Source organism: Homo sapiens, chromosome 9, assembly GCF_000001405.40.
Source record: "Homo sapiens chromosome 9, GRCh38.p14 Primary Assembly".
Classification (NCBI taxonomy): domain Eukaryota; kingdom Metazoa; phylum Chordata; class Mammalia; order Primates; family Hominidae; genus Homo; species Homo sapiens.
Window position 1 is genome coordinate 99,884,341 of NC_000009.12, and position 23,058 is coordinate 99,907,398.

The window sequence follows — 23,058 nt, forward strand, 5'->3', positions numbered from 1 at the left end:
CTCTTATTTAAGAAGCAATGCCTTAGTCACTTCAGATTGTGTTTGGCTAGAGCCTGGTACTTAAGCTGTCAACCTGGATAGAGATGCATATTTTTTAAACACAAATACAAAATCATTTCAAAGTCCATTAAACAGATTTTTTTAGTTGGAGAGTAACTCAAAATTGCCAAGCTACTTTATTTTCTGATGCTTTCTTAATCATGATATAGTTCCAAATAGTATTTTTTCAATAATTATAATTTCAAAGCATTTTTTAAAGTGGGTGTTAGAGCTTTTAGGCATTTTCAATCGTTTTTTTTTTTTTTTTTCTGGTTGCTATAAAGGCCCAGGATTCAGCCTTGGAACATGTATCAGACTCTCCAATTAGATATCATTATTTGAAGAATCCCTAAAAAGTTTTGAATGAAGTCTATTGTAATCATTCTTTATCCTTGAAGCTTTCCACATAGCTGCATATTTCACTGCATCGTTGTAAAAATGGATTTTCATGTCATACGTTTAAAGAAGAAACAGCAGTCTTTGTTTCAAGGAGTATTTCAGAAGATTTACAGGTGTTAACAGGTGGAAAGATTCTGGGTTTTGCCTTTAGGAAGAAAAAACCAACCGAGCGCGGTGGCTCACACCTGTAATCTCAGCACTTTGGGAGGCTGAGGCAGTTGGATCACTTGAGGTCAGGAGTTCAAGACCAGCCTGACCAACATGGTGAAACCCCATCTGTACTAAAAAAATAAAAAAAAAAAAAAATTAGCTGGCCATGGTGGTGGGCGCCTGTAATCCCAGCTACTCAGAGGCTGAGGCAGGAGAACTGCTTGAACCCAGAAGGCAGAGGTTGCAGTGAGCCAAGATCGTACCACTGCACTCCAACCTGGGCAACAGAGTGAGACTCTGTCTCAAAACAAAACAAAACAAAACAAAACAGAAAAGACCTATTGTGGTCAGTAACAGCCTCTTGAGAAGTAGCTGTGCTTATGTCTGTCTGGCCTTACAAACCAAGAGGTGGACCATCTCACAGAACAGGCATTTGTGGACAACTAGCAACAAGATGGAGTCAAAGTACACCATGGAGAAGGGTTGCTAGGTGCCCAAAGAGGCTTTGAAGGGGCAGTACCCTGGTGTGATCTCCATGTTCCAAGGGCTATATCTCAGGAACCTGATGTAGCAGCATAATGACAGTGGATCAATCTCTCCCTCTCTCCGACCCCCAGATAGACATCCACTAACAAGCTCTGATGTATAAATTAGAAGTTCATCTATTAACTTATAACTGGGTCTTGGATCTTCCGGTAAGTATTTTTTTTTATCTATAGGTGGATCTACACAGAAAGCCAAATTACTATCAAAAGTCTGTTGCACATAAGCATAGACTCAGTACAAGGGGAGTTAGTGTTTCAAGTGTTTCATAGCTTTATCTTGGATACAGCCCCATGTACATGTCTTAGTAAGGAACAAAGCAGATTAAATCCCTCTCATTTCTTTATCTAAACTTGATCTAATAGCGTTTCTAGTTCTGACATTTTATATTTAATTTCACTTGATTTCCATTGTCTTCTGGTGCAAATGGAAGCATAACAGGAACTCAAAAGGGTCAGACAAACCACAAGAGCAGAGAACTGTGTCTCAAGATACATGAGGAAGAAGAAAGAGTGCCCTTAACTACTTTGCCTGACTTCAGATCTCTAGACACAGATAAATTATACCATAATGTGCAAGAAACACAGATAGTGTTAGGGATCCTCTGAGACATTTGGAGACATTATAGAGATGAGAAGAGGTGCTTGAACCCTAAAAACAAACAAATGTTCTGATTTTCTAAATAAAGAAATAATATGAGCCAGAAAGGACAGGAAAGTAAGTCTCAGGCGAATCTCTGACATAGTTTAAGTAGATTACTGAGCACAGAAAAGAATGCAGTGATCTCCAGGAAGCAGCATGGGTTCAGTACAAATGCCTCAGCCATACCAGTTCACCATTTACTATTTACTTTTCAGACATATTTATTTATTAGTTTGTCAGATTTAAGATTTGAGCCCATATTTAAATAATAAAATCAACTGGATGATATTTTCTTTCTTTGTTGCGAATCAGTTAATGTAGCAGCAATATTTGTTGATCAGAAGTCTGGGTTAAATCCTTTAGTGAGTCCATCCTGACCAGGTGCCACATGTGCCACTCTGCCTTCTGTAGTAGAATTGGAAGGCAACATTTCAGTTCCAGTGAAACTATATTGCCTTTATTTGGAACATCTCTAAATTCCTCTTTCAGAATTTTCTTCTGAAGTTTACTTTTTATTTTCACAGGTAGAAAGTCACTGCCCTTTGGAGAATAGATGTTTACCTTTTCCAGAAACAGTCGGTTCTATCAGAAACAAAAAGAGATAAACTTTGATCACCTAGTCAATTGAAGGACGGGGTAGAGGGAAAGAGGAATGCAAAGATTAGGGTATACGTATAAACCAAAAAAAATTAAAAAAAAAACAATTTAGTTGTGGGTCTTGTAAATTGGCCCTAAAAGCAATCTCTAAAGAGAAATTTTTAATAGAGAAAAGTGTCCTTAATACTTTTCAAATTCTTAAATATTGTCTTGCTTTCAAATGTTTAAAAATGTAAGTTTCAAATGATAAGGCAGATTGAACACAGAAATACATACAGACTTTTCTATACCTTCCTTTCTTCTGATCTAGCAATGTAATCCAAGCATTATAAGTAACTTTTAGTTACAGAACAGATTTCATTTCATTTCAAATGAATTTTTATATGTATGATTTTTAAAATCAGGATAGCAGATTTTATCTTCTAACGTCTGATAGGCTATAAATCATAGCTCCTTTATTTAAACTTAAACAGAATTTTAAAAACACAGGGGAACAAATATTTAGGTAGTTTTAAGTTGGTATCTTTTGTTAAATTCTTTTGAAAGCAGAATTCAAACTTTAAATGCAAAAATATTGTTGCTGATAGGTTCACATCATATTCAAGTGTTATATTATACATGACTTTAACAGAATTTTAAGTTAGGAGATGAGCAGTAATGTTAGAAAGTAACATCTGTAACATTACTTTTCCAATATACCTCATCCATGCAAATGTCTCCTGTGGACATTTCAAATAATCTTCACCAAAAGTTAATTAAATAAGAAAAAATAAGAAATGATATTTATCTATTTATAATTAATCTTTTTCCTGATTTACAAAACTACATATAATTCAACAACATTTTATAAAAGCAAGGGAAGGATTAAAAATAAAGTGAATGTGGGAAAAATTAGCCAGAGCTGAAGCAGGGATTCATATTCATGCTTTGAAGTCCTATGTACTTGGTTAAATTTAGCTTAGGCTTTCTAACAGTCATTGCAAAGAAAGAAACAATCAGTTCCATTATTCACAAGTTTTTTAAAAAGTGCTATTTAGAGGGGTACAACACTCCAGGTTCTTGAAGCCTGGGGCTTGCAGAGCTCAATCACCTGCTAGCCAAAAATACTTCCTGGTGGTAAGCTGCTTGAAAGCTGAATTAAGTACTGTATTTTGTTAGGAGGGCCTAAAATATGTCATTCCTCTGCTCTAAAACCTTCAGTGGCTCTCCACTGCCTATACATTAACTATACATTTCTTGATCTGATATTTGAAGCCATCCTTAAAACCAAGTCAAGGTGAGCTCCCTGAAGGCAGATAGCATTTCTTATTCAATATCGTATTACTAGCATTGCCACAGGTCCAGTGACAATGTAGGTGTCAACAGATGCTCAGAAACAACTCTTTTATACAGGGACTCTCAATCACCCAAGAAAATTGGCAGAAACCTCTCCAGTCCTCTTTTCTCTACCTGTAAGGCCTTCCCCTGCCAGCTCTGTTAAATGCTGGCCAATTTCTTCAAAATCAATAATAATATCTTCATCACCAATAACAGCTACAATAACATCACTTTGCATTTGTATTGTGCAGACACAAAGTGCAGACACAAAAAATCCAATTCTATTCTCATAATCAGCCTTGCTTTGTAGTCAGGGCAGGGATCATGGTCCCAGCTCCACAACGCAGAAATCACATCTTGTACAAGATCACATCCTTATTAAATGGGAGATAACATTTCCTCCTGATTTCCACAACAGGTTGTGGTCTCTTTCTCTTCTTCAAACCCTTGTGGCATTCAGTTTGGCATCTCTTATCAAAATAACTCCATTCATTTTACATAGTCCTTTACAGTTTATAAAAAATGGTTTCTCAACCAAAATTCCTATTTTTTTGATTTTTACAACTTCATTTGGAAAAAATTAATCCTCCCCTTACTGTGAGGACCCTGCTGCTTTCTCCGCTCTCTCTAAAAATATAAAAAGTGAAAGCTACTCAGTAGATTTCACCACCATCACTGCATTCATTTTATCATCTGCCAAGAACAATAGAAACTAACATTTTTAAGGTTCCTACTCTCTGGAAGGTTCTGGGGTAATTTTTAAATAAATAATACTGCTTTATTTTACTTCTTTGCCCTTAGACTGTTAAATTTCACACACGCACATGCACACACACATGCACACGCACACACACACACACACACCCTGAAACGGCCCTAATCTGAAAATAAAGTATGTACTCTCCTGCTCTATGGACACTTTGATCAATGGTGAAAGAGAACCAGGAGTAGTGGTGACGAAAAGGAACTTAAATCCTTTCTGAAACTCTGCTACAGTGACTGATTTAAGAATCAAGTCTAGCTGGAGTCCATCAGGGGGATCCAGAATGTGTTGACAAGAGCTGCCAGTTAGGGGAATTTCTGGTGAAGACATCCTCAGGTAGGAAAAGACCCCAGCAGAGAGATTTTGATGAGGAGACTCTTCATCCTTCACCTTGGTTCTGAGTGACAGCTCCAAGCCAGAAGAAGGCTGGAGAACAGAACCAAACTGGAGGCCACCACCAGAAATCTTTTTGGTGTGAGGACTGGAAAGTCCCTGTGCTAAGATGCAGCACTACACAACTCCAGGGGGCACTCTTCACATGGCCCATACTGTGCACATGGCCTTGGAGTTATGTAACATGGGGTCCTCCTCATGGTATCTGGCCCTGTTCTCCCATTGCACTGACTGCATGTCACAGGGGACATCCATGTCGAGACCCTCAAGGGAACTGGAAACTTTCAAGCTTTCATTACTCATTTCATGATTTGGTGCTTGGCATTTTGATTTCAGTTCACTTTATGGCTTTTCCTTGAATAAGATTTTAAAGATATATATGACGGGGAGCACTGGGATTCTCTAGACATGCTAAGCAGGAACTCAAAGGTGAGTATCATGCCAATTGTGTGATTCCCCCCATAGCGTAACTCAGGCTCCTGATGGCAAAGATTTCTCTGGAAAAAAGGTCGACTTCATCCAGACTGTGTGGTCTCCATTCTTTTAGCTATGTTTTTCTGTGAAAAGCATTACCTTTTGAGAAAAGCAAATTAGAAATTATTCTAACTTATATATGGGGCCCAGCAATAATTTCCCATCCACCCTTCAGATCTGTAGTTCCCAAAACTGACTATACTTTAGAATTGTTTACAGAAAATATATTGACACCTGGTTTCTACTCCAGGACAAGTAAGTCAAGATCTCTGAAGGTGGGGCCCAGACAACTACATCTTTTTTTTTTTTTCTTTTTGAGACGGAGTCTCACACTGTCGCTGGGCTGGAGTGCAATGGCGCGATCTTGGCTCACTGTAACCTCCACCTCCCAGGTTCAAGTGATTCTCCTGCCCAAGCCTCTGGAGTAGCTGGGATTACAGGTGCCCCCCAGCACGCCCAGCTAATTTTTTGTATTTTTAGTAGAGATGGGATTTCACTATGTTGGCCAGGCTGTTCTCGAATTTCTGACCTCGTGATCCACCCGCCTCGGCCTCCCAAAGTGCTGGGAGCAACTACATCTTTTAAAAGGTTTCTAAGTGATTCGCTGTGCTGTCAGGGTGGTGACCCTGTGCCTCAGGTAGTTTTTTATTCTTCCTCTAATCTCAGCCTCAGTCATCAATTGAGCTTCAGAAGGTTTGCTCAGCTGGAGAAACTCAGTTATGAAACTGGAGAGGACACTAATGAGAACACAAAGGCAATGAGACGAACAGGTCATTTAAAACAAATATTTATCAAGTGCCACATTCCCAGTCATGTACCAGGTGCTGGGAACACAAAATAATTATGACAAAGTCCCTGCCCTCAAAAAGTTTCTGCTCTATCTGGAAAGACGGGTATGTGAATTACTATAACACAGAGCAAAATTAAATCAAGGTATTATGGGAGCACAGGCTGGGGAAATGAGGGAAGATTTTGGAGAAGAAAATACATTTGAGGTAGGTCTTCAAGGAGGGATAAAGTTCTGATCAATGGAAAAGAGGAAGAAGGCATTCCAAAGCGGTATAGCTTGAGCAAAGGCATAGAGGCAAGAAAGTGGATGGGATATTGAGGAACTATAGGAACCTGGTTCAGAAAATAGTAGCCTATGAGGCAGGAGGTTTTTATTTTTTAATTATTACTTTTAAAATTTTCTGTAGAGATGGGGTCTCATGTTGCCCAGGCTGGTCTCAAACTCCTGGACTCAAGCGATCCTCCTGCCTCAGCTTTCCAAAGTGCTTGGGTTACAGACGTGAGCCACTGCACCTGGCGAGGCTGGAGATTTAAACTTAAATGTGAAGCCAGACACATTTGTACTACGATTGCACCTGTGAATAGCCACTGCACTCGAGCCTGGGCAATATAGCAAGACCCTGTCTCTTAAAATGTTTTTGAAATTAAAAAAAAAATTGGTGGAAGGCCTCAGAAGCCCCCACAAGTAATCTGTAGGTGTTATGAGTTTGTGAGTCTATACAGTATGTGTCTTAGATGGAGAGAACACAATAAAGATAAAAATCAAATTGTGCCATGATAAGATCTGAAACAAATAGAAACATGATCAATATGAACTTTGATAAATACCTCTGAGGTAGTTACTCATCCTGTTTTTGGGCAGCCTTCTCTGATTTTATGCTTTAGCACTTGTAGGTGTTAACTATGAAGCAGAAAGCTGCACAGACAAGCCACTTAAATTATTCATCCTAAATCAAGTTGAGTTTAAGAGTCTCCTCTTGTTACTCCCACTACTCTGAGGGAGCTGGACACACCACTGTTGCATTTTTTTCCTGTGCTTTTTACATATGTTCTCTCCGTTGAGAATGCTATTTCTTCCTTCTGTGATAATGCCCATGTACTGACTAAACTCTTAAGTTGCCAGCTCTGTGTGTCTTTCTATAGCATTTTTATAGGGACAGCTAATCTAACAGTTATTAATTATACTGTATTTAGTAACATGTCTGTGTTCCCTCCCAGACTGTCAACCCCTGGAAGACAGAAACAGGATCTTTTTAAACTTTCAATCACCAGGACTCAGCACAGTGGCTGACATGCTGGTGGTGCAGACTGAATGAGTGAATGAGAAAGCACTTACCAGATGTTGGAAAGATTTAAAGATATCAATTATGTCCTTTAATGTTTAGGTACTGGGATTCGGGAAATTTTTTTCCATATTTAAAACCATTTGCTCAGGTTCAAAACACTTCTCTTCTGAAGTGTTCACTTATATAAGCAAAATGACAGTTGCTGAACCTATCAATTTATTTCTGTGAAACAAGCAACATTTCTCTCTTTAGTACTAATCTGCCAAGGAAATATTAAAGTTAATGTATCTTTGGCTAGAAGTATAAATATTACTCAAAAAGCTCCTAAAAACAACTGAAGCCTACAAAAGGGGAAAAAATCCCTTAAGGGATATGACAATAGAATTTGGGGCTTCCTGGGATAAGAGGAGAGAGGGTGGTGCTCTTTGTGAATTTTGACGATTTCCAGTTCCTTAAATGTATTCCACTACTTGGGGGATTAAAAGGTTTACTGGTGAGAGTGTCAGTTGTCAAAGGACTGAGGATAGATTCTATAATCCTGTAAAAGAGAGCTCCAACAGCTTCTCCGACAGGAATCTTGAAATATTTGTTATCTCAGGAATAATTTTGCCCTATTGTTATACTTCCTTGGTTCTTTAACAATCCTGTTGCCCCTGGAAGAAATAACATGTTTAAGGAAATTAATTTTTGCACCGTTGCTCCCAAATTCTATTTGTAAGGCACCTTGTCTATTACTCCGTGCATTTGTATTGGTTTTTGCCTCATATATTTTGATGCTCTGTTGTTAGGTGTGTACACATTAAGGATTGTTTTGTCCTCTTGGAGAATTGAACCATTTATCATTAGGTAAGTGCTCTTCTTCATCCCTGATAATTTTCCTTGTTCTGAAGTCTGCATTGACTGCAATTAATAGAGCTACTCCAGCTTTCTTTTGAATAGTGTTAGCATATATTATGGGTTGAATTGTGTCCCCTCCCCCAGATTTTTATTGTTGAAGTTCTAACTCCCAATACCTCAGAATGTGACTTGTATATTTGGATACAGGGTCTTTAAAGAGGTATAAAATTAAAATAAGGTCATAAGAATGGGCCCTAATCCACTATGGTTAGTGTCCTTATATGAAGAGGAAATTTGGACACAGATACGAACAGAGGGAACTCTATATTCTTCTCAAGAGGGAGAAGATGGCCATCTACAAGCCAAGGAGAGAGGCTAAGAACAGATCCTTCCCTCATGATCCTCGGAAAAAAATAATTCTGCCAACTCCTTGATCTCAGACTTCTAACCTCCAGATTGTGAGAACATAAATTTCCCTTGTTTAAGCCACCAATTTCTAGAACTTTGTTATGGAAGCCCTAGCTAATGAATACAGCATGGTATCTCTTCCACCATTCCATTACTTTTAACCTACTCGTGTCTTTGTAGAGTGAGTTTCTTGTAGACAACATATGGGTCTTGTTTTTTATTGTCTGACAATCACACTCACAAAAAATTGATATATTTGGACAATTCACACTTAAAGTGGCTATTGATGTATTTGGTTTAACATCTACATGTTCCTAATGTTTTCTACTCATTGCACTTGTTCTTTGTTTATTTTTGCTCCCCCTTCTTTTCTATCTTCTTTTGCATATCAATTACACTTCTTTTTGAATTTTTTAGGTAGTTGCCCTAGAGTTTTCAATATACATTCACAACTGATCTAAGTCCACTTTCAAGTAACAAAATGCCACTCTAGAGGTAGTGCAGTTACCTTATTCCCAATTCCTCCCTCCCATCCCTTAAAGCATTTATGCCATTCATTTGACTTATCCATAAGCTATCATCACCCAATATATTGTTACTGTTATTACTTTAAACAGAGAGCTGAAAGGTTTAAAGCACTGGAGGGACAACAGGACACATACCAAATTACTGTACTAAAATGTAGACTGATGGGTCAAAAATACCAGAAAGTCCACATTATAAGGTAGTCATTTGGAGGAAGGAGGCATTAAATCTAGAAATTCTAGAAATATTAGGAGAGGCCATAGTTGGTATGAACATAGAAAGATGAGTATGATTTGGACATACTTAGAGGGAAGAGCAATTGGTAGAGAATATCCCAGGTGGCAGGCACAGGATAGGATTGGGGAAAGCATTGGGATTAAAAAACACTGAGAATTTCAATCTGGTTAGAACTAAAGATGTATGATGGAAAGTAACTGGAAATAAAGTTAGAAAATAAGGTTGGGCTCATGTGGAATTTCTATTAACTTGCGTGTTTGTTCATCTACCATGTGATATTATTGACATTCATAATAATAATAACTAAGGTATTACAAAATCCAAAGTGCCTTGCAAACTGCTAAGGTAAAAATAACATTTGATATAATTTTAATGCTGTTTGTTTACTGTGTTCTCATTGTAAGCATAGTGTAAAGTTCCATGTTTGATGAGGAGTTAGGATGGTAAGGGATGTGAATAAGAGGAATTAAAGTCAGTGAACAAAGCAAAAATTACATAGTCAAAATTACCCTTGAAAATTCTTTAAATTGTCCAAAAGGTTTGTTAAGCATGACTTTATAAATACTATTTTATGCAATAATTCTTGGGCACACTAAGTTGTGAGAATAACTAAACTAGCTAATCTAAAGAACAAAAAAGGGGAAGAGGGAAAAAGGGAACGAAATTTATAAGCAGATGTCTGGGCATTTAAGCCACTCCATATATAAAATGATTATCAAATTCCTCTGTAGTGAATGGGAAAGTGTTTACTCATTTGGGTTTGCTATAAAGCCTCTTTAACCTTACTATATATATGAACTGTTTGGTGATGGTGTGTGTGGTGGCAGAGGACAATAAAGCAGACAGTGGTGAGGTTTAAGTACTAAAGTCAGTGGATTCATTATATAAATATGTTTAAATTGATATCATAAGATAGTAGAAACATGGGATTTTGTGTCTACAATAGTTACAATTATCTAGATTGAAAGTAGAAGTTCATTTGAGCTAGTTAAAACAAAGAAAAATGAGGGATAGATTGGAGGGAGGTGGAGCCAGACACCTTCCATGAACATCTCCCCTCCAGGAAGAGCAAACTGAAAAACTATCCACACAAGAAAGCCCCTTTGTAAGAACCAAAAATCAGGTGAGTGATCACAGTACCTGGTTTAAACAGCTTATCAAGGAAGGGCACTGAAGAGGGTAGGAAAGACAGTCTTGAATTGCTGACACCACCCCTCCTCCATCCTCCAGCAGCAGCCGCGTGGTGAGGAGAGAGAATCTGTATGCCTGGGGGAGGAAGAGCACAGTGATTGTGAGACTTTGCATTGGAACTCAGTGCTGCCTGTCACAGTGGAAAGCAACACAAGAAAGAATTTAGCTGGTGCTCAAAGAGGGAGCATTTAGACCAGCCCTAGCCAGAGGGGGATCATCCATCCCAATAGTCAGAACCTGAGTTCCAGCAAGCCACATGACCATGGGCTAAAGTGCTCTAGGACCCTAAATAAACTTGAAAGGCAGTCTAAGCAACAAGGACTGCATTTCCTGGGGAAGTCCTGGTACTGTGCTGGACTCAGAGCCAGTGGACCTGGGGGGAACGTGACCTAGTGAGACCCCAGCTGGGGTGGTCAAGGGAGTGCTTATGTCAAACCTCCCTTAACCCTGGGCAGAACAGTTTGCAGCTCCAAAAGAGATTCCTTCCTTCCACTTGAGGAGAGAGAGGGAAGAGTAAAGAAGACTCTGTCTTGCAACTTGTATACCATCTTGGCCACAGTAGAACAGGGTACCAGGAAGAGTACTGAAGCCCCCAAACCAGTCCTAGTTCCTGAACAACATTTCTAGACACTGTGGGCCAGAAGGGGACCCTCTGCCTTAAAGAGAAGGACACAGTTATGGCAGGATTCATCTCTTGCTGACTAAAGAGCACTTGGGCCTTGAATAAACACCAGCGGCAGCAAGGCAGTACTTGTCACAGGACTTGGATGAGACTGAGTGCTGTGCTAGCTTCAGGTGTGACCCAGCACATTCCCAGCTGTAGTGGCTACGGAGAGATACTCCTTCGGTTTAACGAAAGGAGAGGGAAGAGTAAGCCTTGCAGCTAGCTTGGCCGCAGTAGGGTAAAGCACCAAGTGCGCTCCTGGGGTCTCTGATTCCAGGACTTTGCTCCTAGATGGTATTCCTCAACTAACCCTGGGCCAGAGGGGAGCACACTGCCCTAAAGAGAGACCCAGGCCTGGCAGCATTCACTGCAAGCTGACTGAAGAGCCCTTGGGACTTGGGTAAACCAAGCAGTACTTGCCATAGGCCTGGGGTGGTGGTGGCCATGGGGAGAAACTCCTTCTTCTTGAGGAAAGGAGAGGTAAGAGTGGAAAGGACTTTATCTTGTGGCCTAGGTGCTAGCTCAGCCACAGTAAAATAGAGCACTAAGGAGCTGCCTAAGGTTCCCAGCTCCAGGCCCTGGCTCCCAGATAGCATTTTTGGACCTGCCCTGGGCTGAGGGGAGCCTATAGTCCTGAAGGGAAGGACAGAAGGCTAGCTGGATTTGCCACCTGCTGACTGAAGAGCCCTTGAGCCTTGAGTGAACACTGGCAGTAGCCAGAGTGGCTGCTGCAGGCCTTGGGCGAGACCTAGTGCTATGCTGGCCACAGGTATGACCCAGCACAGTCCCAGTGGTGGTGGTTACGGGAGTGCTTGTGTCACTCCTCCCCCAGATCCAGGAAGCTCATCATGGAGAGACTCCATTTATTTGGGATAAGTAAGAAAAGTGAACAAGAGTCTCTGTCTGGTAATCCAGGGAATTCTCTCAGATCTTACCCAAGACCACCAAGGCAGTACATCTACGAGTCTGCAAGAGTCACAGCACTACTGGGCTTAGGGTGGCCCCTAATGCAGATATGCTTGCAGTGAACAGAGACTTATATCACAACACTCAATTCCCTCTGAATACCTGGAAATCCTTCCCAAGAAGGATAGGTACAAACAAGCCCAGACTGCAAAGACTACACCTAACTCTTCAATGCCCAGACATTGCTGAATATCCACAAGCATCAAGACCATCAAGGAAAACATGACCTCACTAAACAACATAAATAAGGCACCAGTGACCAATTCTGGAGTGACAGAATTACATGAACATTCAGACAGAAAATTCAAAATAGCTCTTTTGAGGAAGTACAACAAAATTCAAGATAACACAGAGAAGGAATTTAGAATCATATCAGATAAATTTAACAGAGATTCAAATAATTTTTAAAAACCAAGCAGAAATTCTGAAGCTAAAAAATTCAGCTGGCATACTGAAGAAGGAATCAGAGTATCTCAACAACAGAACTGATCAAGCAGAAGAAAGAATGAGTGAGCCTGAAGATAGGCTACCTGAAAATACACAGTCACAGGAGACAAAATGAAAAAGAATAAAAAAGAATAAGGCATGCCTACAGGATCTAGAAAATAGCCTCAAAAGGGCAAATCTAAGAGTTACTGGCTTTAAAGAAAAGGTAGAGAGAGATTGGGGTAGAAAATGTATTAAAAGGGATAATAACAGAGAACATTCCAAACCTAGAGAAAGATATAGGTATTTAAGCACAAGAAGATTATAGAACACCAAGCAGATTTAACCCAAAGAACATTACTTCAAAGCATTTAATAATCAAACTCGCAAAGGTGAAGGAAAGGAAGAACCTTAAAAGCAGCCAAAGAAAAGAACCAAATAACATACAAAGGAGCTCCAATATGTCTGGCAGCAGACTTCTCAGTGGAAACCTTACAGGTTTGACATGGCAGTACATATGGTGTGACAGAGTGGCATGACATATTTAAAGTGATGAAGAAAACACGTTTATCCTAGAATAGTATATCCGGTAAAAAATATCCTTCAACCATGAAGAATAAATAGAGACTTTCCCAGAGAAAGAAAAACTGAGGGATTTCATCAACACCGAACTTGTCCTACAAGAAATGCTAACGGGAGTCCTTCAATCTGAAAGAAAAGGATGTTAAGCAATAAGAAGTGATCTGAAGGTACAAAACTCACTGGTAATAATAAGTAAACAGGCAAAAACGGAAGTTTTTTCTTAAGACAGGGTCTAGCTTTGTTGCCCACCCAGCCTGCAGTGCAGTGGTGCTATTAATAACACAGCTCACTGCATCCTCAACTCCTGGGCTCAGGTGATCCTCCCACCTCAGCCTTCCAAGTGGCTGGGACCACAGGCTCATGCCACAGTGCCTGGCTTATTTTTTTAAAAATTTTTGAAGAGACAGGGTCTTGCCATGTTGCCCAGGCTAGTCTCAAACACATGGGCTCAAGGTGTTCAGACTGCCTGGGCAACATGGCCAAAACTGTCTTGCCCTCCCAAAGTGCTGGGGTTATAGGCATGAGCTACTGTGCCCAGCCAAACACAGAATATCGTAACACTGTAATTGTGGTATGGAAATTACTCACGTCTTGAGCAGAAATACTAAAATATGAACCTATCAAAAATAATAATTACAACAACTTTTCAAGACACGGACAGTGTAAGATATAAATAAGAACACCAAAAAGTTAAAAAGCAAGCAGTTAAAGTGTAAAGTGAAGTTGAAGTGTAGAGTTTTTATTACTCTTCTCTTTGCTTATTTGTTTGTTTTTACAACCAGTGTTTAGTTGTTATCAGCTTAAAATAATGGGTTATAAGCTGTTATTTCCATGCCTCATGAGAACCTCAAATTTAAAAACCTACAGCAGATACACAAAAAGTAAAAAGCAAGAAATTGGAACATACCACCAGAGAAAATACTCTTCACAAAAGGAAGGAAGGGCGGGAGGGAGGGAGGAAAGAAAGCAGGCAGGCAGGGAGGGAAGACCACAAAACAACAAGAAAACAAATTATAAAATGGCAGAAGTAAGTCCTTACTTATTGATAGTAACATTTCATATAAATGGACTAAACTCACCAATCAAAAAGACACAGAGTAGTTGAACTAATTAAAAAAGACACAAAGATCTGTTGTCTACAGGAAACACAGTTTACCTATAATGACACATGGATTGAAAATAAAGAGATGGAAAAAAATATTCCTTGCCAATTGAAACAAACAAAAAAGGAGCAGGAGCAGCCATATACGCTTTTTGTTTTTTGTTTTTTTTTTGAGATGGAGTCTCGCTCTGTTGCCCAGGCTGGAGTGCAGTGGCATGATCTCAGCTCACTGCAACCTCTGCCCTACTGGGTTCAAGCAATTCTCCCACCTCAGCCTCCTGAATAGCTGGGATTACAGGCACATGCCACCACGTCTGGTGAATTTTTGTATTTTCAGTAGAGATGGGGTTTCACCATGTTGGCCAGGCTGGTCTTGAACTACCGACCTCAAGTTATCTGCCCATTTCAGCCTCCCAAAGTGCTGGGATTACAAGCAGGAGCAGCTATATTTTTATTAGACAAAAGATTTCAGACAAAGTCTATAAAAAGAGACAAAGAAGGTCATTATATAATGATAAAGGGGTCAATTCAGCAAGAGAATTTAGTAATTCTAAACATATATGCACCTAACACGGGAGAGCACCCAGGTATACAAAGCAAATATTATTAAAACTAAGGTCAGAGATAGACCCCAATACAATGATAGCTGGAGACTTCAACACCCTATTTTCAGCATTGGACACATCACCCAGACAGAAAATCAACAAGGAAACACTGGATTTAATCTGTACTATAGACCAAATGGACTTAATAGATATTTACAGAACATTTCATCTAATGCCTGTAGAATACACATTCTTCTCTTTATTATATGAATCATTCTCAAGGATAGGTCATATATTAGGTCACAAAACAAGTCTTAGAACACTCAAAAAAATCAGAATAATATCAAGTGCCTTCTCTCACCATAATGGAATAAAACTATAAATCAAAAACAAGAGGAACTTTGGAAACTATACAAACACATAGAAATTAAATAATAGGCTCTTGAATGACCAGCAGGTCAATAAAAAAATTAAGAAGGAAATTTAAAATTTCCTAAAACAAATGAAAATGGAAACATGACACACCAAAAGCCATGAGATACAGCAGAAGCAGTACTAAGAGGAAAGTTTATAGCAATAACCACCTAATAAAAAAGGAGAAAAACTTCAAACAACCCAACAATGCATCTTAAAGAACTAGAAAACAAGAGCAAACCAAACCTCAAATTAGTAGAAGAAAATAAATAATAAAAATCAGAGCAGAAATAAATGATATAAAAATGAACAAAACAATACAAAAATCAATAAAATGATAAGGTGGTTTTTGAAAAGATAAATAAAGTCAATCAACTTTTAGCTAGACTAAGAAAAAAGACAGAAGACCCAAAGAAATAAAATCAGAGATGAAAAAGGAGACACTATAATCTAAACTGCAGAAATTCAAAAGATCATTAGAGACTACTATGAGCAAGTATATGCCAATAAATTAGAAAATCTAGAATAAATGGACAAATTTCTAGACACATACAACCTGCCAAGATTGAACCATGAAGAAGTCAAAAACCTGAACACACCAATCATAAGTAATGAGATTGAAGCTATAATAAAAAGGCTTCCAGCAAAGAAAAGCCCACTCAGGTGTCTGCTCCTGGACCAATTCCCTCTGGTCAAGGGTAGGAAGGGGTTCATGCTGGTACAACAGAGACTCATAACTGTTAGCATTCAGATCTGGAGGGGAGGAGCAGTTCCTGGGCTTTTCTTTGCAGTTCTCAGAAAAGTAATGGGCCAGGAAGATAACCTATTAGGTCTATACCATTGTGCCAAATTTGGATTTTATTTCAGATTCTTCATATACTTGCTTTATGATACTAGAAAATTTATTTCTTAATTCATGTAAAATACATTGTTTTCCTAGGATGTTCCAGGAACCGTACTAGGTTCTAAGTAAATAATAATGTATATCTTTCCTCAAGAAACTTAGAATCTAGTAGAGTCACAGATAAGAAGATGAAGAATTCAACTAATTATGATAAGGACCTTTATAGGGATAAGCATAGATTGCTGTAGTAGCTTATAAGGGGACATTAAACCTGGACTTGAGAGGGTGAGAGTATTAGTCTGTTTTCACGCTGCTGATAAAGACATGCCCGAGACTGGGAAGAAAAAAAGATTTAATTGAACTTACAGTTCCACATGGCTAGGGAGGCCTCAGAATTATGGCAGGAGGTGAAAGGCACTTCTTACATGGTGGTGACAAGAGAAAATACGGAAGATGCAAAAGCGGAAACCCCTGATAAAACCATCAGATCTCACGAGACTTATTCACTACTACGAGAACAGTATGGAGGAAACTGCCCCCATGATTCAAATTATCTCCCAGCAGGTCCCTCCCACAACACGTGGGAATTACGGGAGTATAATTCAAGATGATATTTGGGTGGGGACACAGAGCCAAACCATATCATTCAGCCCTTGGACCCTCCGAATCTCATGTCCTCACATTTCAAAAGCAATTATGCCTTCCCAACAATCCCCCAAAGTCTTAACTCATTTTAGCATTAACCCAAAAGTCCACAGTCCAAAGTCTCATCTGAGACAAGGCAAGTCTCTTCTGCCTATGAATCTGTGAAATCAAAAGCAAGCTAGTTACTTTCTAGATACAATGGGGTACAGGTATTAGGTAAATGCAGCTGTTACAAATGGGAGAAATTGGCCAAAACAAAGGGGTTACAGGGCACGTGCCCTGTAACAGAAAGCAGTCAAATTCTACAGCTTCAAAATGATATCCTTTGACTCCACGTCTCATATCCAGGTCATGCTGAGGCAAGAGGTAGGTTCCATTGTCTTGGGCAGCTCCATCCCTGTGGCTTTGCAGGGTATACCACCCCTCCTGGCTGCTTTCACGGGCTGGTGTTGAGTGTCTGTGGCTTTTCCAGGTGCACAGTGCAAGGTATCAGTGAATCTACCATTCTGGGGTCTAGAGGACTAGAGGACGGTGGCCCTCTTCTCACAGCTCCACTAGGTAGTGCCCCAGTAGCATCTCTGTGTGGGGGCTCTGACCCCACATTTCCTTTCTGTACGGCCTTAGCAGAGGTTCTCCATGAGGACCCCACCCCTGCAGCAAACTTTTGCCTGGGCATCCAGGCATTTCCATACATCCTCTGAAATCTAGGTGGAGGTTCCCAAACCCCAATTCTTTACTTCTGTGCACTTGCAGGCTCAAAACCACGTGGAAGCTGCCAAGGCTTGGGGCTTGCACCCTCTGAAACCACAGCCCAAGCTCCACATTGGCCCCTTTCAGCCACAGCTGGAGCAGCTGAGACACAGGGCACCAAGTTCCTAGGCTGTACACGCACGAGGACCCTTGGTCCAGCCCATGAAACCATATTTTCCTCCAAGGCCTCCAGGCCTGTGATGGGAAGAGCTGCTGTGAAGACCTCTCACATGCCCTGGAAACATTTTCCCCATTGTCTTGGCGATTAACATTTGGCTCCTCATTACTTATGCAAATTTCTGCAGACAGCTTGACTTTCTCCTCTGAAAATGGGATTTTCTTTTCTGTCACATTGTCAGGCTACAAATTTTCCAAACTATTATGCTCTGCTTCCCTGATAAAACTGAATACCTTTAACAGCACCCAAGACACCTCTTGAATACTTTGCTGTTTAGAAATTTCTTCCACCAGATACCCTAAATCATCTCTCTCAAGTTCAAAGCTCCACAAATCTCCAGGGCAGGGGCAAAATGCTGGCAGTCTCTGCTAAAATATAACGAGAGTCACTTTTGCTCCAGTTCCCAACAAGTTCCTCATCTCTATCTGAGACCACCTCAGCCTGGACCTTATTGTTAATATCACGATCAGCATTTTTGTCAAAGTCATTCAACAAGTCTCTAGGAGGCTCCAAACTTTCCCACACTTTCCTGTCTTCTTCCGAGCCCTCCAAACTGTTCCAACCTCTGCCTGATAACCAGTTCCAAAGTTGCTTCCACATTTTTGGGTACCTTTTCAGCAACGCCCCACTCTACTGGTACCAATTTACTGTATTAGTCCATTTTCATGCTGCTGATAAAGACATACCCAAGACTGGGAAGAAATACAGAAGAACTGTATTTGGACTTACAGTTCCACATGGCTGGGGAGGCCTCAGAGTCATGGCGGGAGGTGAAAGGCACTTCTTACATGGCAGCAGCAAGAGAAAATGAGGAAGATGCAAAAGTGTGGAAACCCCTGATAAAACCATCAGATCTCTTGAGACTTATTTACTACCATGAGAACAGTATGGGGGAAATCGCCCCCATGATTCAAATTATCTCCCATGATTCAAATTATATCCCACCAGGTCCTTCCCACAACATGTAGGAATTATGGAAGTACAATTCAAGATGAGATTTGGGTGGGGACACAGAGCCAAACCATATCAGTGGGAGAAGCTTCCTAGGTGAGATGACTTTTGAGTCCAGCAGAATAAAGAGTAATTTCTTTACTCTGGGGTGGGGGGAAAGAGATGGGGGAAAGCAGGCAAAAAATGGCATTCTAAGAAGAAAGAGTAATAGTTGCAAAATCAATTTGGATTTTTTAAAATGTTTTATTATAGAAATCATAAAGGGGGCCTGGTGTGGTGGCACACACCTGTAATCCTAGCACTTTGGGAGGCTGAGGTAGGAGGATCACTTGAGCTCAGGAATTGGAGACTAGACTGGGCAACACAGGGAGTCCCAATTTCTAGAAAAATAAAATTAGCCCAGCATAGTGGCATACACCTGTGGTTCCAGCTTCTTGGGAAGCTGAGGCAGGAGGAGGTCAAGGCTGCAGTGAACCATGATCACCCCCATTGCACTCTAGTCTGGGTGACAAAGCAAGATTCTATCTCAAAACAAAACACGAAGGAAGGAAGGAAGGGAGGGAAGGAAATAAGAAAGGAAAGGAAAAGGAAGGAAGGAAATAAGAAAGGAAAGGAAAAAAGGGAAGGAAGGAAGGAAATAAGAAAGGAAAGGAAAAGAAAGGGAAGGAAGGGAAGGAAGGAAGGAAAAAAGAAAGAAAAGAAAGAAAAACAAGAAAGAAAGAAAAAGAAAGAGAAAAATCATAATGGGATTTTGATAAATTTTTAAGTTAGTTTGGTGGAAATGGACAACTTTACAATATTGACTGTATTACTTTTCCACATAGTCAAGTCTTTACTTGTATCTTATATGGAAATATGGAAGTCAGGTTAAAGTATAAATACTGTTACGTAAGATTTGAGTCTTACTCCTGTTATGTAGTATATGAGACTTGGACCTTGGTCAAGTTACTCTCTAAGCCTCAATTTCCTAGTTTGTATGAAGGGGGTGATTGTAATACCTACTTCATGGGTTGTCATCAGTATTAAATAACATATTGCATGTAAAGCGCCTAACCAAGTGCTTTACACATCACATGCAATCAAATAAAAAGCTACTTCTTCCCCCCTCCCTTTTTACATGGCTTTATTTAGGTATAATTCACATACAATAAGCACTTATACATAAACATATTTACAGTGTACAATTTGGTAAGTTTTGACATATATATACGTCCATGCAGCTATTACCACAATCAAGATAATGAACATTTCTATCACTCCCAAAGTTTCCTTATGCCCCTTTGTGATCCTTCCTTCCACCCCTATCCCTCATCTAGCTATTATTCTCAATTCTTCAAATAGGTCTTGTAATTCCTTATAAACACAAACTTGATTTTTGTCATTTTTGAATGTAATCTTCCTCCCAGTACATTTCAATTTTTTTTTTTTTTTTTTTTTTTGAGACAGGGTGTCAGTCTTTTCTGCAGGCTGGAGTGCAGGCTGGTGGGATCATAGTTCATTCCAGCCTCAAACTCCTGGGCTCAACTGATCCTCCTGTTTCAGCCTCCTGAGTAGCTGGGATTATAGGTACATGCCACCATACCCAGCTACGTTTTTTTTGTTTTTTTTAGAAATGGGGTCTCACTATTTTGCCCAGGTTGGTCTTGAATTTCTAGCCTCAAGCAATCCTCCCTCATTGGCCTCCCAAAGTGCTGAGATTATAGGCATGAGCCATCACGCCCAGTCTTCTTCTCATTACATTTTAAAATTGATGATTGTTGTTTAGGAGAGGTATTTTATAGCCATCTTATTGAATTAGTTTCAGTTTATTCCATGGATTTTCCAAGAAAGCAATCAATCATAACACCCTAAGAATTTTTTTTAATTTTCTTTCCAACATATACACTTAATGTTTTGTTTGGACTTGCTGGGTTCAGTTAGGACTTCAGGAAAATGTCGGCCAGTAGTAGCAGGCCTGCCCCTAACAACTTGATGACCTAGAGTACACAAAAGAGGTCCACACACCATATGTTTGAATATTTAAAGATTATAAATCAAGCTAACCAACAGTTAGATTAAAAGGTTTTGGTCGGGCATGGTGGCTCACACCTGTAATCCCAGTACTTTGGGAGGCCGAGGCGGGCGGATCACGAGGTCAGGAGATCAAGACCATCCTGGCTAACATGGTGAAACTCTGTCTCTATTAAAAATACAAAAAATTAGCCGGGCATGTTGGCACACGCCTGTAGTCCCAGCTACTCAGGAGGCTGACACAGGATAATCGCTTGAATCTGGGAGGTGGAGGTTGCAGTGAGCTGAGATCATGCCACTGCACTCCAGCCTGGGCGAAAGAGCAAGACTCTGTCTAAAAAAAAAAAAAAAAAAAAAATGTTTATCCTACTACTTTGACACACCTAACTTACAGCAAACATACATATAACAACTTAGAAGTCCAGGTCCAAATTTAGAATCTTTGAGTACCACACCTCCTGATTTTGTACCTGAGGAAGCTTTTTCAGAACTTAACACAAATGATCTTTTATTTCAAAAGATCTTATTTCACTGATCCTTGCATAAAAAACATTTTCTCACAGTATTGCCTAATACTTTAATTTTTCTCCTTAGAATCAAAATTTGATAAATACATTCTGGAGCTCATTGTAAAACAAATATCAGTATACATTATGTCCCCAAAGAAAATCCAAATTGCTTGGTAGATTTGGTGCTTTGTTTTAGAAATTGTCTTTCAAGGCTTTTTAAAGGATCTACAGGCCCCTAATCTTCCCTGTTTACCTCCTACTCTACTGGAAGACCCTAAGAACTCAGTTTCCTTAACTGTGGTTTGAACATCCTGATCACTTCTGAGACAATGCCATTAGTGAATACATTCTAAGCACGTCATCTGAATATTCACAGACATCTTTTTAAAAGGGCTGGATCTGGAAGTTAGGCCATGAAGAGAGGAGGACCTGTGACTTGGACAAGGCTTCAAAGCCGGCCACCTGCTTGTTCATGTGGTTGCAGCTGGTCTAACTGGAATAACTTGGGAAGGAAATTAGGACACCCAGTTGGAGTTCCAGCTCTGCCATAAGCTGGCTGAACTGGAGTGAGTCACTTAAAACTCTTTGTTAAACCCCAGAGTCATAATCTATAAAATCGGGATAAAGACGTTTGCCTTAAGCCCTCCACCAGTTTTTGGAGGAAACCACAATTTGCTGAGCTTTAATTTTTACACCTGTTGCAATTAAGATGGCACTCCTGCCCTGTCCACTTCACAGGGCTTTTGGGGACGGGATGGGGAGGCACCACCTTTCTGAGCTTCAGTTTCAAAACAGAGCTAAGAATACATGCCCAACCCGCAAATAAAATTCTAGGAAGAACAGAGGAAAACGGACAGGAAAACTGCGAAATGCAGTCGGCCATACAAGCATGAATTGTCTTAAACACAACAAGCAGACCTAAAGAGCGTTTGTGCGTCTCTCTCCTCTTGGCTCGAGTCACAACCCCATAACGTAAATCAATATCACTTTTGAAAAAGGCTTTCGCTGTTCTCAGCAGCGTCCGCATTTGTACTCACCTGTGCGCCCCCAGCGCCCGGCCTGGGGGCCCTGCGGGGCGGGGGCGGGGGCGGGGGCGGGGCCCAACCCTGCCCACCCCTCGTGATGCCCCGCCCCGTCGCTCCTGCGCCTGCGCCGTGCCCACCGACCGGCCTCGAGCGCCCCGGCGGGAGGTAAGGGGCTCTCTGGAGGCCGCCTTTGGGGGCGTCGGGCCCTCACAGGCTTGGTGGGCCTGGCGCCCGTGTGGCGCGCGCAAGAGGCGCTGGGCGGCAAGTAGGGCATTGGATCCGAAGTGCGAGCGCCATGGTGGCTCCTCCTGTTTTTCAGAAGTGGCGGAGCCTCGCTTGGTTTCGTTTTTGGAAGCTTTATTGGAAGCTGGTATAGGGAGGCCGCAGACGATGCGAGCAGGACGGCCTCCCGGGGTCGCGGGGTGGAAAAGTTTCCGGCGCGCGTCCTGTCTCTGGCGCGCTGTAGGCCCCGGGTCGCCAGGGTCGCTGGCGTCTGGGTCCCGGGACAGACCCGCGCATCCGTTCGCTGGTGGGGGCGTTTGGTGTGTGTGGCCCAGGTGTGCTGTGGGTGACACTGCGAGGAATGACGCGACGCTCGATGGTAGTGAGGCTCGGAGGACTGGGAGCGAGAGGCCGGAAGCCCCTGCTCGCCAAACCCAGAGGTGGTTGGCAGAAGGTCCCACACCTTGGCTCCCTCCTTTTAGCTAACCGAGGTTCAGAGAGGAGACTTTACTTTGACTTTTCTCTCCAAATTCGGTATCTCTTCCATAAGTCAGAAACATTAAGCGGCGGGCCGGAAGAAATCGGGCGCCACTAGTATCCTGAAAAGTGGGAGCTCTGGGCCGATGGAAGGTGTT

At 40.9% G+C, this 23,058-nt stretch overlaps 1 protein-coding gene and 1 long non-coding RNA gene across 5 annotated transcripts in view, besides 2 other annotated features; one reads left to right on the top strand and one right to left on the bottom strand.

Annotated features, from left to right (window-relative positions):
• Positions 1-1,976: 1,976 nt before the first annotated feature.
• Positions 1,977-22,261, bottom strand: STX17-DT (STX17 divergent transcript). The gene is made up of 3 exons (NR_038853.1): positions 22,214-22,261; positions 10,540-10,665; positions 1,977-2,355 (listed from the first exon to the last, which is right to left on the bottom strand). It is a non-coding gene; the product is annotated as an STX17 divergent transcript (long non-coding RNA).
• Positions 22,053-22,452: a silencer, noted in NCBI's record as "silent region_20131". NCBI's record gives its function as "represses an Ori minimal core promoter by ATAC-STARR-seq in GM12878 lymphoblastoid cells {active_cell/tissue: GM12878}" and the evidence as "EXISTENCE:reporter gene assay evidence [ECO:0000049][PMID:35858748]".
• The window catches only part of STX17 (syntaxin 17), a 67,881-nt gene continuing 67,136 nt past the window's right edge, over positions 22,314-23,058 (top strand). For 2 of the 4 annotated variants that reach the window (NM_017919.3, XM_047423553.1), the window contains exon 1: positions 22,314-22,366. The gene's annotated coding sequence lies outside the window, so the exon portion shown is untranslated. Of the gene's footprint in view, positions 22,864-23,058 lie in introns of all 4 variants that reach the window. The other 2 variants (XM_047423551.1, XM_011518821.4) reach the window with 2 other exon arrangements.
• Positions 22,613-22,852: an enhancer, noted in NCBI's record as "active region_28716". NCBI's record gives its function as "activates an Ori minimal core promoter by ATAC-STARR-seq in GM12878 lymphoblastoid cells {active_cell/tissue: GM12878}" and the evidence as "EXISTENCE:reporter gene assay evidence [ECO:0000049][PMID:35858748]".